Below are 16,545 nucleotides of genomic sequence, written 5' to 3' on the forward strand. Positions count from 1 at the left end.
ATAAATTAAGCACAGTAAGAGATAAACAAGAGTAATAATACAATAGACAAATTATAACAATATACTATAATAAAACTTATGTAAATGTGGTCTTCCTCTCTCTCTTAAAATATGTTAATATTTTCAGAGCTCGGTTCACCACAAGTAACCTGAATCTGTAGAAAGCAAAACCACAGATAAGGGAGAATTACTGTAGTCTAGCAGCTTCTTGGAGAACTTCAAGCTATAAGAAACTGTACACAGAGAAGCCAATGATGAGAAGGGAAAGATGAATTGTCTAATAATTTCAAAGAGAAAATATGACTGTTTCTATAGGTTTGCATGTTTTCACTGGTCAAACTTCCTTTGTCCTCCTCATACTGAGAAATGTGCATGTGTTTGGCAGGGAACCATATTCAAGGCCAATTCAGCACTGCTTGGCTGTGATGTACTTACACAATCATCTGCCCATCCTCTACCACTCATTTATTTATACAGTACCGTACATTTACATATATCTCTTTTGTCTGACAGGTCTCATTTTAATATTATTATAGCATCATTTTTGCCACTCATCAGTTCAATCTCAACTGAAGATAACATACTTTCCTTTCTTGTCTGTTATTTTTCTTGTTTCACTTTTTCTGTCATGGCAGGGACTTTATTAACCCAAAAGGCAGTGTAAGAAATTATTAAACAGATTTTTGTTTTCTAGCTCACTTTACCATTACACAAGGCTGTGTCTGACCAACTGTGCCTCATATTTTCAAAAGCTATAGATGTTACAGTAACTCATATTCCTCTAGCACTAGGGAGAAGGTAACTTTACTTATTAGCTGCACGTTTTATGTTTAGGGTGATTATTATCTACTTTTTTCTTTTTTAAAACCTATTGTGTGATTTCAGTTTCCTTTTAAAACAAATACCTTCATCCCTTTTTACTTGAGGTGGTTGTATTTGGTCATAAAAGAGGCCACTTGGTATCAGAACACCCTCACATATTTGCCTAATAATCCCTTTTAAGTAATCTGGCCTGTTGTTAATGGCTTTTTTTTAAGCCAGTCATACACTTAGAATCAAAATTAGCATCTAAATGAGGATGTTTTAAAACGCATGCCTAGGGGTTGCCAGTTTCACCTTTTTTATAGTTTGCCATGTTAAATTATGTAAAATAGAAATGGTATTTTAGTATTTAATGAGCTAATGCAGAACCTATTGAGACTGTGTCCCATCCCCCACTTTTCCCTCACACAGCCCACAAAATGCTTTTTAAGGTATGAGAAATGGCTGTGAATTTTAAAGCATGTGTCATAATGTGGAGAACCCTTTCCTTTCAATGACTACCCCATTTTAAAAGTAAGGTATTACTAGGGAAAATGCTAGGTGTAGGAAATCTGGATTTATAATCACTTTTTTTTTTAATCTGATGGTGTTATGCATAATAACATTAATTTATTCAGCATTTAATTTTTCTAGAAAAATTTATTATGGGTTACATAATGTTACAGTCTCAATTTACTAGCAAGGAAAATTTCGTAAGTTAAATCAAGAAATTATGACATAAGCAGAAGAAAAATGAAATATGCATTCAAAAATATCTAAATAATGCCAAAAATACATTGTCAGAGAGCTACAAACATCATAAAGGTATAAAGGAGTCAGTGTTATAATTAGAGACTGGTGTTTCAGCTGGATATCATGAACACTTTCAGGAAATTAAATCTATCATCTGGTAGTTTGGCCCCACAAGAGAAAGAGGATCTCCATTGTTTAAGTCATTTAGAAATAGATAGGGACTGTGGTATAAAAGAAGAAAGAAGGGAATGATTAGATAACCCGATTAGCTGGTTCTTTCTATCATCCAAAAGCTTCTGCTTCATAGTGCAGAAAACTGAAGTAGAATTTCTATGTGATAACAAATCTTGTTATTGCTATTATTATTATTGGTATATATAATAAAGCATACCTTTACCTCTCAAAGGTAAAGATCCTAGAAAAAATATATATGTAGCAAAACAAATAGAGTTTTGCAAGTGATGAAAGCATAAACCTCCAATAGCATTATGCAAAATTTCAGAGCACTGAGATCTAAGGTGTTTGGTTTTGCTACTTCTCCTGTGTTTCCTGGGCCATTTTTGTGCCCTATCATCCACTCTCTCATATCTCTATGAATTTTCTCCACTTTACGGAATACCCTCCACTTTTCATTTAATGGCTATTTTTTGCTGAGTAAAAAGCTAAAGTGACACCATCTTCATAGTAAAGTCACATTGTGCATCCTCTTTTTCATAATTTTATGTAAATTTTTTAGTATTTTCAGTATATAATTAAATCAAACTCATTTGTTTAAATGGACAAAAACAGGCAGCTGTGTCTAAGGAAAAAATTGAGATTTTCTATTCTACCACTTCTCAGGTGGCTGTGGACAATATTTTGGTATGTAGTCTATGTGTACACAAACATTCCCGTGTACACTTAAGTGTGTGCATATTCCTTTTTACATAGCATTAATTAGTTCTCAGAATATAATTAAGTTGGCCCCAATATTATAATTACATTATAATACATTGATGTAGCATTGTAATTGTCATCTTTTAATTTAAAAGTAGGCTGGGTTAAATACAAAACGTTTGCTGAGTTAGAGTTCTACTTTTGATGTCTTTTTCCAAATTGGCTTCCAGAAAGCTTGAATCAATGCCTCAAAGTATGTGAAACTTTGTTTTACATTTATATCTTCACCAACAGAGAATCAATATTAATAATCTTTTTAATCTTTGCCAATCTAATATTTGAAAATTATTTATTCTTGTCTTAATTTGTATTTTTCCCTGAGACGGCATTATGTTTTCTTTTGTGTTTATTGGCATTTGTACAGCCAATACAGTTACATGGGTCATTGAACAGCCTTATGTACACCTTTGGCCCACTTTATTGTGAGTTTTTTTAATCATGTGTGAGAGTTTATTTTATATTACGTACACTGCCATTTGTGAGGTAAACATTTTTATGGAATATTGTTTGCTTTTGATTTTTTATATGTTATTTGTATAGAGTAAAATTTATTAACCCTCTTTGTATTTATGATTTTTATTTTTCAGGTCATGCTTACAAAGTCTTCTTTGACACAGTGCTTTAATTTTCATTAGAATCATTTAGTCCTTGTTGCTCCCATAGTATGTTTTCTGTAGGACTAGGAGATAGTACCATAATTATCTGTTTCCATAACTGGCTTGTGAGTTCCAAGAGGGCAGGAAATATGTCTTATTCATTTTTATATTCTAGTTAACAGGAAAGCCAAAATACTACGGCATATAAATAGTAGCTGGTAAATGAATAAGTAAATGAACGTAAATGAATGAACAAGATTTTAAGTTTATTACCAATCATAATCACCATGAAATGAACCAATACCCTTGTTAGGAAATTAAGCATATTTATTTACAAAATCACAAATTTTCAATTTCTGAAATCACCATTATTAAAAAAATAACTTTAGATAAATTAAATTTAACAGAGCTAAATTGAGCAAAGAAGGATTCATGAATCAGGCAGCTCCCAGTATCAGAGTAGGTTCAGAGTGACTTCAGGGCTGCCACAGAGTCAGAAAACATTTATGAATAAACAAGAAGGAAAGTGACATACAGAAAAGAAAGTGAGGTCAGAAACAATTGGATTGGTTACTGTTTGGTGTTGGCCTTATTTAAACACAATTTGAACAGTTGTCCACCTGGGACTGGCAGACTTGGCTACTTCTTATACCAATAGATGACAGTCTATTTGAACATTCTCTTAAGTTACAGTTCACTATGAATGGAGAAACCTTTAGTCTAAACTGAAAATAAATATGTAATGAGGTCGCTTTAGGCTACACTTAATTTAACACCATTATTAATCATTTTCTACACTGTAATTTTTTAAATTCCCTATGAAATATTTTCTATGTCTCTAATTTTATTTTTTGTTTTTTATTGTAATTTTTTTATTTTATAAATTGTGTAATCTTATACTCTGCTTCTTTTCATTTTAGGAGGTAATAGTATTTTATTAGTCAAAATGCTTTGCTGGCAAATTACAGAACTTGAACTAGCTTTGAAAGAACTGTGAATGCTGTATCTTAATAAATCTAATTCTACACAAAACCTTTAAAAGTAGGGGCACTGCTGTTTTAGGAACAACAAGATCCAAGTATACAAAACAATCAAGACTGTACTTGTAACCACCCAATGGGCTTATCTTGCCTGCTGCTAGGCAAGGCCAATTTATCAAGACAGGAGAATTGCGGTAGAGAAAAATAGCCAGTAGTAGAGCTGGCTAAATGAGAGACTGGAGTTTTGTTATTACTCAAATCAGCCTCCCCCACAATTCAGGGACTAGGATTTTTCAAGGATAGTTTGGTGAGCTGGGGACTGGGAAAGGGTGAATGCTGACTGGTTGGGGATACAATCATAGGGGTATCAAAAGCAGCCCTCATACACTGAGTCAGCTTCTGGATGGGGACCACAGAGGAGTTGCTGGTCTGGGTGGGGCCATTCAGTAGTCAGAAATGCAAAAGCCTGAAAAGATATCTCAAAAGGCCTATTTTAGGTTCTACAATAGTGATGTTGATAGAGACACAAGGCAGGAAAATTCTGGGCAGAAGAGGGTGGGTCCTCAGCAGGGGCCCCAACCTCAAGCCTGGAACCACAGCCCAAAGTGAGAACATACATTCCTGTTTTCTTGCTCAAACGTTGCCTTTTCCAAAACCACCCATGTCCTACCCCATCCCTGATCCTGTGCCCATAAAAACCCCAGGCTCTGCCAGCAGAGAAGAAGAGAAACATTTGGATGTTAGGGACTACAGTTGAACACTGGAAAGAAGCAACTTAACTTCAGAGAGACGGCTTGATGGCAGAGCTTCGCAGAAGAGATCAGCTGTGGCTGGACTCCAGGGGAAGATTACCTTCCTGCTCCATCCCCTTTTCAGCTCCCCTTCCCACTGACAGCCACTTTCATTGGAAATAAAATCCCCCACATTCACCATCCTTCAAATTTGTTCATGCGACCTCATTCCTCCTGGACACTGGACGAGAACTTGGGTGTGGGAGCAAAAAGCTGTCACACTGACCTTTCACTGAGCTGTTAACACTTAAGCCATCCGCGGATGGCAAAACTAAAAGAGTGCTTACTGTAACGCTCCTTCTGGGGCTTCAGGGATCATGGGCACTCCCCCTAGATGCTGCCATGGAGCCTTTACAAAGTTCATTCCTGCTGGCACCCAAAAGTGCTTGCTCTAGCTCCTGCACCCCCTCACCTGTGTACTCCCTCCCTCAAGGGGTTGAGCAAAGCAGGTTCAAGTTAGTGGAGTTTGTCCCTGCCAGCACCCATGCACTCCAGTTCCCACCCACAGAGGGATCAGGGAAAATTTCTTGCTTCAATGTTATTTGCAGGAATAATTGGGGAAGTTGCACATCTCATGACCTCCAGAATAATGGATGCTAATCACTTAACTACACCTACATTTTAGTGGAATCCATCCTAACCTCCTGGCCTTTCTTTAGTTTTACAAAGGCAGTTTAGTTTTGGGAAAGGATATTATCACTTAAACTATAAATTTCTCCCAAAGTTAGCTTGACCCACATCCAGGAATGACCAAGCATAGTTTGGAGGTTTAGATCAGATCTCTTTTACTGTCATAATTTTCTCACTGTTATGATTTTTGCAAAGGTGGTTTCATCTTATCTTACCCTGCTTTACTTCCTCTGCTGTCAATTGTTGTCAGACTGACTTATACACAAAACTAGAGACATGGACATTTAGAAATTTGGAGTTCAGTATCCTCAAAGCCTAGCAGTCAGAGAGATAAGGAATTTGCCTTCTAGATCTGTATAAAAATAAATACATATGCAAACTAAAACAAAGCAAAAAACACAAGAGGACAATTAATTGGTTAGGTAGACACATCTTAGAACAATCACTGTAGCTAAGTGATTAAAAACAGTGATTAGGTGATTATGGGCCCCATGACTACTGAGGAATAGATTCTATTATCAAAAATGGTATGTTCTCAGTCATAGGTGGGAATTGAACAATGAGAACACTTGGACACAGGGTGAGGAACATCACACACTGAGGCCTGTTATGGGATCGGGGGACGGGGGACGGATAGCATTAGGAGATATACCTAATGTAAACAACGAGTTAAAGAGTGCAGCACACCAACATGGCACATGTATACATATGTAACAAAAACCTGCACATTGTGCACATGTACCCTAGAACTTAAAGTATAATTAAAAATGGTAAAGAAAAATAATAAATAATATCTCAGCAAGTGTCTTGGTTAAAAGACACTTGGAACTAAAGTGAGACAGACCTGGGTCTTACAAGGCTTTATGATGTCATCTCTCAGAGCCTCAGTTTTCTCATCTGTAAATAAGGATAAAATAATAAACACTTTAAGGTGATGTTTAAAAAAAATTCAGTGACATAATATAAGTAAAGTGCTTAGCAGACTATTGTTCAGTAAATCTTAGTTGTCATCATTATCCTCAATTTCAACCTCCTTATCATCACTGTTAATAATCTCAAAGAAGTTTTGGAAATGGAAGAGCATTTTTAAAGGAAAAATAACTGAGAAGATAAAAGAATAATTTTTATCTTCTCAATTATTTTGGTGGATAATTTTGCCCAAAAAGGACATTATAAGATACAAATGTTCAAATACTTCAGATACTAGAGACAAATCACAATAGCTATAAATCATTAGCCCCTTGGCACTATGGTGATGGCTTTATGTGCATCATATCATTTAATCTCCAAACAACCCTATAAGGCTCTGATTTTATAAAGAAACTGAAGATCAGAAAGATGAATAACTTATTAGGGACACTAAGGATACTAAGTTAAACCCAGCTAAATATGCATAGTTGTGTAACTGCCCATTGGGTTCACCTTGCCCGCTGCCTAGACAGAGTCGATTTATCAAGACAGGAGAATTGCAATAGAAAAAGAGTAATTCACACAAAGCCAGCTGTGCAGGAGACCAGAGTTATATTATTACTCAAATCAGCCTCCCTGAGCATTTGGGGAATCAGAGTTTTTAAGGACTACTTGGTGGGTTGGGGGAAGCCAGTGAGCCAAGAGTGCTGATAGGTCAGGTCAGAGATGAAATCTTAGGGAGTTGAAGCTGCCTTCTTGCACTGAGTCAGTTCCTGGGTGGTGGCCACAAGATCAGATGAGCCACCTTATCGATCTGGGTGTTGTCAGCTGATTCATCAAGTGCAGGGTCTGCAAAATGTCTCAAGCGCTGATCCTAGAAGCAGTTTAGGGAGAATCAGAATCTTGTAGCCTCAAGCTGCATGACTCCTAAACCATAATTTCTATTCTTGTGGCTAATGTTAGATTTACAAAGGCAGTCTAGTCCCCAGGTAAGAAGGAGCTTTGTTTTGAGAAAGGACTAAACCATAAACTATAAACTAAGTTCCTCTCAAAGCTAGTTCAGCCTACACCCAGGAATGAACAGGGACAGCTTGGAGGCTAGAAGCAAGATGGAGTTGGTTAGGTCAGATATCTTTCACTGTCTCAGCTATAATTTTGCAATGACTGTTTCAGTAGTATAGCTTTGCTAAGTGAGGTCCTTGTATGATCATTGAATATGTAAGTTTCAGGAAAACTGTGCACTAAATCTAAATCAACCTCCAGCTACTGAGAGGACATGAACAAATCAGGCAACTTTACTGAGATCTCATGTCCATACTTGTCACATTGAAATAATATGAAACTCTACTTGCCAGGAGGTGTGCAATACTTTGAGTACTTGATAGCCTCATATGGCACAAGAAGTGGGAAAAAAACACCTCTTTACCCTTGGGTCTCTGTGATGGCAGCGGCGGGCCATCTGGAATGGCCACTGCCACCATGCAGGCTGCAGCAGGGAGGTGCGAGAAGTGGCGGCAGGTGCAGCTGCAGGAGCAGCAATGGCAGTGGTGGGTCCCCTGCACCCCACATCCCTGAGGCAGCCGACTGCACCACCCCTACCCTCATGTGGCCAGGCAAGACCTGCTTCCAGGTCTGGAGCCTCTGCTGCTCCAGAACCTTGTCCTGTGTCACCACTCTTGCCCACTGCTGCTGTAGGGAGGGCACAGGGAGGAGGTGGAGCTGAGCCCAGGGTGGCGCCATGCTCCATGGAGCTGGCAGGAGGCAGGGACAAGTGGGAGCCCCCCCTGGAGCCCACTGCCCTGGGAGCCACGGCAATGGGGTTGGGCCAAGCTACCCATGGACAGGGGAGCAGCATGGTTTAGCACTGAGGGTTGGACAGAGGGGCCCAGCAAGGACCCAGAGCCCCCAACCCCAGCTATGAACAGGTGTGGCTGGGGCTGCCTACATGCTCCATGGACTGGGTGGGAGCCGTGCCATCCCAGGCACAGGACTCAGGTGTCTCTGCAGCACTCTGCACTCATGGTGACTTGGGTAGGCTCTTGCTGCCCTCACAGGCTTGGGGGTGTCTGTGCCTGCTGCTGGCCTCTCCCTGCTCCCGCACCTGCTCTGACCTCAGAATGGGGTTGGGGCTGAGCCCAAGCACTGTCACCACCCAGCTGAGTGTGCACATGCTTGGGACAGTGCTGATATGCCACCCCCATGCTGCCTCGGCCCCTTCTGGACTCTGGGCACTGGTAAGCATTGCAGGGAAGCCAATGGGGAACTGAGGGCAGTTAGATGCTGACCTGCAGGTGACCTTTGGTGAGAGGATCCTGGGTGCCATGGACAGTGGCAGGAGGCAGTTTCCTGGGCAGAAGGGGGCAGGTCACCGGTGAAGCCCCACCGTCAAGCCACAGAGCAGGGCTGGGCTGCCAGTCCTGTGGACTGGAGTGGGAACTTGTGGTGCCTTTTCCAGGCCCACTGATGGTCACCCATGAACCAACTGTCACATACTTCCTCCCCTCTGAGGCCCGTAAAAGACCTGGGCTCAGCCAGACCGGGATAGATGACAAGACGACCAGCTGCAGAGAGGAGGTACTCTCTCTGCTAGGAGCTGAACTCTTGACAGGACACCCTGACTAGAGAAAGGAGCTATCCCCTGCAGGTCTCCTCTGAGCTGTTCTATTGCTCAGTAAAGCTCCTCTTTGTCTTGCTCACCCTTTACTTGTCTGAGTATTTCATTCTTCCTGGTCACAGGACAAGAACTTGGGACCCACCAAATGGCGAGGCTAAAAGAGCCTTAAGACAAAAAGGGCTGAAACATGCCCCATGTTGCAGCCAAAGAGGAGGGAAGATCTGCCACCGGTCAGGGAGCCCAGACCTGGGAGCTCCCTGAGCCAGAGCTGTTACTCCCTCTTTGGGGCTCTGTGGTTCCTGGCATCTCCAAGCTTCCTGGTGCCACCACGTTCCCCACTGCCAACCATGGAAGCTGTTTGTGGTGTGCCTGGTCTGGCCACAGCTTCACAGAGACCCAGAACCTGTGCCGGCACCTGAAGCTGCCTGCCCCGCTGCAGCAGCAGGCATGTCTGACTGTGTGCAGTGGATGGACCCCATGCTCACTCACACACCCCTCGCTGTTCCACGCCTGACTCACCCTTGGCAAGTGTGGGATCCAGGCTTATAGCATGAACCAAGCACAGTCTGCCATGCTGAGTAGGCAGAACAAGCCCAGCAAGTCCGAGCAAAATTTGGGCAAAGAAGCCACCAGCCACAGAGGTTTCTGCCCAGAAAAGTGACACCCCAAGGATCCCATAACATCTGTGTCATGGATTCATGCCTGACGTGAAATCAATACAAATAGGCTGAACTGACACTTATGTGCACAGAAACACACAGGCAATAAGACAGGCTGAAGAAAAAAAAAAGCCATAAAATTGTAGGAATCATGAATCAGAGGGAACCATGAGGTTCAGAGGAGAAAAGAGTAAAGCCAGAGGCAGAGAGACTCTGGGACAAGCATTCATAGATGTCTATCCTCCTCTCATCACAACTATCAAGGAGAAAAAAAAACTGCTTTAAATGTACTGTCAAAAGTACATTAAATCAACTATGTAAATTTTGATATCTAAGTTCTCTGTGACTTCTGCCTGCAAGGTTAAGATGGTTTCCTTGTCATTATTTCCCTATTGGTCCTTACAACCCCCATTAGTTGAAGCAACCTGATCATATTTCTGTGAATTGAAACCAGAAAGCTCAACAGGCAGCCCTATGTGTCTCAAAAGACGATTAAAATTAAATATGAAAATGTTTTTTTAAAATATTAGAAACTACACAAAACAGGATATATAGCAACTGTATTTGTCAAAAGAGACCAAAGTTCAATAATGACAAAGAATTAGAATAAACAGAAAAAATTAATTTTATTCCATAATTTATATTTATAAAAAGGTAAATATGAAAGCATTAGAAAGGCATTTTTGAGGTTCTGATTTCCTTCAGGATTCTAATGAGAACAACTGTTAGAGTATGTGAAAGAAAGAAAGAAAGAATTTAACTAGAACAGTTTTCCACTAAATTTCTCAGTTTCTCCATTGCATTCCCTGAGAACTGATTGGAGCTCCACTTGGAATATTTAAAACTGCTCTGGACAAAATCATTAAAAGATGCTGGAGGGAACTAGCCAGTACTATCCTGGGGATGGAGGAGCTGTATGTAAGTTCTTTCATCTTTATTTAGACTCTTCTGTAATATATTTCCTTTCTGAGAAAAGAATTTATCTCCATCCAACAACATGCTGGAGAAAATGGCAATACCAAACTATCACAATGCAATAATCTATGTAATTAAATTATTTCATGGATCAATAGGAATGTGCAAATTGTGAAAAACTGTGAAATGTAATAATGTGTCTGACATTATAATTTCAGATGGCTTATTTATTCTTCAAGGACTTTGTACATTGATGCTTATTTGATTTCTCTGAACAAAAAAATGTTTCCTGGTCTGCTCTGGTTCTTCATTCCTTAGACAAATATATGTCGAGAGCATATTATGTGTAAGGCATTGTGTTAAGTGCTTTAGGGGGTAAAAGGGAAAATATGGTCTCTGCCTTCAAGGAGTCTCCATTTTCATACAGACAAGGAGGCCACATGGTAGAAAGGAGAGGACTCTGGAAACACACAGATTGGGTTCAAATTCCATCTCTGCCTGCTGCCAGCTGGGTCTCTGGTTCTCTATATGTAAAATTGGGATAAAAATGTCTTTCTCATGGGCATGTTATGAGAATGGGGAGATAATGTTCATACAGTACCTAGCAAAATATCAGTATTCAGTCAATCAGTGTGACTTTCCTTCCTCTTTAGAGAAGCAGGAAAAACTATAATCAGGGTAATATGCACTGCATATGTAAACCAATTACATAGAGAATAATGCAGGAGCTTTGCTATATATATATATATATATATATATATATATATATATATATATTTAATATAGTGGGTGTCGTCTAGGGGGATATGATGTTAAAAACATCTGGGAAGGTTTTATAACTCTCCTGAGGACTAAACTCTGACTATTTTATTTTTCTCTTGCCCAAACTTCTGTCTAAAAGGCTTGGGGAGTCATGCCCTACAAACCACAAAATTCCATCAGATGGCTCTTTATTGACTCTATATAATGTTACCCCAAAATATATATTTTTCTACCTATTTTGAAATGGCTGCCACTGGGCCAACAGATTGAAACGTCCCTGCAGATTGTCTTTTGTGGAAAAAATTTGCATCCCTAGAGAATCTCCATTAAAGTAGCCAGAATTTTCCCCTTATAGGCTGTTCCCAGATCTAGGAGAGAATAACTGAGAGTCTGACACATTTAAAGTCTGAAAAGAGACATTTATTATCTATTCTCTCTGAGGGCTGTCACCTATGAGAATTCATCTACATTAAAAAAAAAAAACCTTGGACTCCACAACCCCTTTGTAACTTAGGAATCCCTTTCTGCTGACTTCAAGCCTCCAGACAATAGCTTAACTGTCTCAACCAATTGTCAACTAAAGATCCTTAAAACCTATCTATGACTTGTAACCCCCACCCCCTTTGAGTTGTCCTGCCTTTTGGGGCCAAACCAATGTATACTTTCCATGTATTGATTAATGATTTTATCTGCAATTGCTGTCTCCCTGAAATGTATAAAACCAATCTGTAACTTGCCAGCCTTGGGCACATTTTCTCAGGACTTCTTGAGATTGTGTAACCTGGGCTGCAGCCACCCATATGGGCTCAGAAGAAACCTCTTTAAATATATTTGGATTTTTCATCATCACTCCCGATCACTCCAATTATTTCTCAACCTCTACCCCAACCACTCTCTGCACCTCCCTGCCCAATGCACACACAATTTTATTTTATTTTTTTCTTCAACTTTTATTTTAAATTCTGGGGTACATATGCAGGATGTCCAGGTTTGTCACATAGGTAAACGTGTGCCATGCTGATTTGCTGCACATATTAAGCCATCACCTAGGTACTAAGCCCAGCATTCGTTAGCTATTCTTCCTGATGCTCTCCCTCCCCACAACCCTACAGATCCCAGTGACACTCACAATTTTAAAAATGTATCAGAATCATGGAGAGTAGGTCATGCAGACAGGGAAATGCTGAGTAATTAGAAAAGCTCTTCCAGGTACAGCACAAAACTTCTCCATTCATAATGAAATGGGCACAAAATTTGGATCCAGACAAACCTTGGCAGTTTCAGTTCTGCCACTTACTCAATGTGGCCAAGTTATTAAATCTTTCTTAAGTTTTAATTCAGGGCAAATACCATGATTGCAAAGGTTTTCTATTCTCAATAACAAGCACTGTGACTGCCCATATTAGGCGCCCAGCAAATATTTCCCAATTGATGAAATAAATTGTGAAATTTACAAAATAGCATCTATGTGCTAGTATTATTGTGCGGATTTTAAAAAATTCTGTAGAATGCCTTCTTGGCATTGCAGGCATCTGATGTTTAATAGCAATTATCAAGGGCTGAGGGCAATGAAAAAACAAAACATCACAGAGGAAACAATATGAACAGAGTAGGACTCTGATAGATGTAGAAAGAGCTAAATTAGCAAGTGCTTGGTAGCAGAGTCACAGTATATTTGGGAATGATAGATAAACTAGTTTGGCTGGTGTTTAAGCTTCATAAGAGCTGGAAGTGGTAGATGCTGCTGCAAGTTAATCATGGTTAGTTCATGAAAGTCCTTGAAGATGCTATTTAGGAGATTTTATTATGTCCACCATGTAAAGAGAAACAAATGAAGGTTTCAGAGCAAAAGGAAGAGTGATATCATCAGAACTTCACTTTTGAAGAAATGATTTGGGATTTGTGTACAGGTTGGAAAGAAACCGAGTGAAAGGTTTGAATAATATTTAATATTATTCAATAACATTATTTAATATTCGATAATACTCTGAAATAGAAGAACCTTTAGGAGGCTTCTTCCATTTCCATAGAAGAAGCAACAAATCCTGATAATAAGGTGAGGTAAGGAAAGGAGAGCAGAGTGTTGTGGAATTAGTTTAACTGTGAGAATGATTATTCCATTTACAAAAGAAGAAGTGTAAATACGAGAAACTTTTAAAAAGGACAAATATTTGTTTAACAAAAAAATGTTAAATGTTTTAATTCAGTTTTAAATTTGCTGCCTCTGGGGTATCATGAAAAAATGAAAAAATTCAGAGACTGGAGCCAAAGATACTATTTGTTAATCATTCCTACAGAAATAAAGACAGAGTTCACCTGGAAAGATTAAGGCTAGAGTATCAAGGAATATTCATCTTCCAGGGACAAGAAGAGAAGGTAAACTTGTGTATTTTGCTAAAATAAAATTTTTCCAGTACCTTTATTAAGAATAGGCCTTAGATTTTATTTAAAAGCCTATTTCTGGCATTGCATTCTACTACAAAAGATATTTTAAAAAACACCAATTACTTTTATTTTCATAAAACATTTTATTAGTTATCTAAAAATTATCTTTCAGAAAGCCTTTATGCATATAGGAAAGAGTCCCAAAATAGCCCTAGATAAGTTTTCCAGTTTACATAACTCCAAAAATCCTATGTTTATTTTCTTTGTGCTCCTTCTTTTTGCCATCCACATGGGTTATTGTAAAAGGAATGATTCACAGTGATTGAATTTTGGTTTGCAATAGAATTCTAGACATCAGAGATAGAAAGCCACTGGCATAATCTACTATGAAAACAGATCCTGTTTTTTTTTTTTTTTTTTTTTTTTTGAGACGGAGTCTCGCTCTGTCGCCCAGGCCAGACTGCGGACTGCAGTGGCGCAATCTCGGCTCACTGCAAGCTCCACTTCCTGGGTTCACGCCATTCTCCTGCCTCAGCCTCCCGAGTAGCTGGGACTACAGGCGCCCGCCACCGCGCCCGGCTAATTTTTTGTATTTTGAGTAGAGACGGGGTTTCACCTTGTTAGCCAGGATGGTCTCGATCTCCTGACCTCATGATCCACCCGCCTCGGCCTCCCAAAGTGCTGGGATTACAGGCGTGAGCCACCGCGCCCGGCCCTGTTTTAACCATTATAATTTTGACTTTGTTGTTAAGTTTAGCATTCAGTAAAGAAAAGTTATCTTACATAGAATCATATGGAAATGATGCATATTATTCCAACCATTCAAGTAAGGTTTGATAACAGTGTGATTTTCATTAATTGACTGATTCACAAATTAAGCATAGAGTAACATGGTGTGCTAAACTTCTGCCCTCACAGAAGTTTCAAAGTAACAGGAAGACAAACATACCAAGAATCACTTACACTGAAGAACATGTGTGCTATGAAAGAAGAAAGGACGCAGGTGTTATAGAGCTCAGAGCAGGGACAGCTACTTAGCCTAAAGGTAGTTCAGAATGTTTCCAGTAGCAAAATGAGATGTCATTTGAGGCCAGAAGAATGACTAGGAGTTATCCAGGGGAAAGGAGAGAAAGGAAATTTAGTAGATCATTTTGCCTCTTTCTCACCCTCAATTTCATCATCTACGAATTGGAGAATATAAGCTTGATGGTCTTTCAAGCCCTTTCTAGTTAATAAAGCACAATGTCCTATTTTAATAGGCCCTTCCCCATATGAAACATGCTCTTCCCTCCTTGATTCTTCTTTGCCCAGACTGCCTAAATTAAATTTAGTTAATTTCTACTTGTCCTTAAGGACTCAGTTGAAGGCATCTTAAAGCTACTTCTTGAAGCTCTTTTTGAGTTCTTCCACTACTTCACGGAGAGCTGGTCTCTCCTCCCCTAGTGTCTTCTCTGTTGCTTTGAAGTTGTTTTTGTCTGACTCCCTCGCTAGACGGTAAGCTCACTGAGGGCAATGACTGAGTCATATGTACCTTCATGCCCTTAGCACCTCTCAATGTCTAGCATATAGCAAGTGTTCATTGAATCTTGCGTAAATATAAAAATAAATTCAAATAAAAATAAATAAATTCAATGCATGCTTTGAAGAAAACTCAAAAAAGCTTTCGTTAGGTAAAGGTGTACTCTTATAATCTTCTCTATAATTTTCTACACAAAAAGAACTCAGTAGAAGGTGATAATGATGAACGAGGCTATTTTTTTGACAATTGAGAAATTTTGCCAAGAAGGTTTTCCAATATTATGGCAAAGTGTAGAGTTAAATAAGAATCTATCGAAACTTTAGTGATCCAAATCTTTATCAGACCCCACAGTGGTCACTGTTTTAGGATTACTGTGCTTCAAAGTCTAAATATCTGTTTGGGAGAAATTACTTTTTCTTATCTCCATGCTTCACCTTCATTTTTATCATGAAACCACCTTATTATTCACAGTGGTTTTAAAATAGATCATGCTGATATAAGAAAAATCAATCTGTAATTAAAAGAATAAACAAAACTGATTTATAGACTATATAACTAAAAACGAACATTAAATTGTGATAAATTATACATTTTGATAGTGAAATTAATATGTCATTGTTTTACGTGATTGATGAATAATTAAAACTTTAGTTATCTAATTTACTTTTTCATGATTAAAAATGATATATTATAATACAAAGGTTGTGAGTTTTATAAACTGAATTAGCAGGCAATTTTTATTAAGTGATGATTTAGTACTGTTTTTTTTCCAGCCCCATGATATGCTTAGTATAATTTCTGAAATTCCTTTATCAACAATAGGCAGATTTTAATATTTACAGCAGTCCTTCAAATACCTTGTCAAATTAGCTTTCCCATAAAAGCTAAGTAAAAATACAGTTGTAAGGAAAAATCACAACCTTCTAGTTTTAGTTCATTTAGAGGCCCTTGAGTGTTCAATGACGTGAAAAGTGACATATATCTGTGAATTAAGAAACTTTAACTACACCAAGAGTGCACTTCATTATATAATACATAATTCAAGAGATGATTCCTTATGTTGAAAATTCAATCCAACTTTGGCATTCAAATTTATCCCCCAATTTCAGTCGTATTCAAAATATTATAGCTTAGGAGGCTGCAGCAGAGCAAGATGGCAGTCTAAAGGTGCGTGCCTAACACTCATTCCTCTGACAAAAAGGAACCAAAGCTATGAATAAATAACCACATTTTGATAAGGGTGACTAAAGAAGAGGGCTAGAGTATGGCAAGAGAATGATAAAAACCCTGTGGAA

At 38.8% G+C, this 16,545-nt stretch overlaps 1 long non-coding RNA gene across 1 annotated transcript in view; it reads right to left on the reverse strand.

The window, feature by feature from the left end:
* Positions 1-16,545, reverse strand: part of LINC01414 (long intergenic non-protein coding RNA 1414) — a 511,616-nt gene that overhangs the window by 303,701 nt on the left and 191,370 nt on the right. The window contains exon 2 of the long non-coding RNA NR_125826.1: positions 6,332-6,384. This is a non-coding gene — a long non-coding RNA (long intergenic non-protein coding RNA 1414). The remainder of the gene's footprint in view (positions 1-6,331; positions 6,385-16,545) is intronic.

Source organism: Homo sapiens, chromosome 8 (assembly GCF_000001405.40).
Source record: "Homo sapiens chromosome 8, GRCh38.p14 Primary Assembly".
In the NCBI taxonomy this organism is placed as follows: Eukaryota; Metazoa; Chordata; class Mammalia; order Primates; family Hominidae; genus Homo; species Homo sapiens.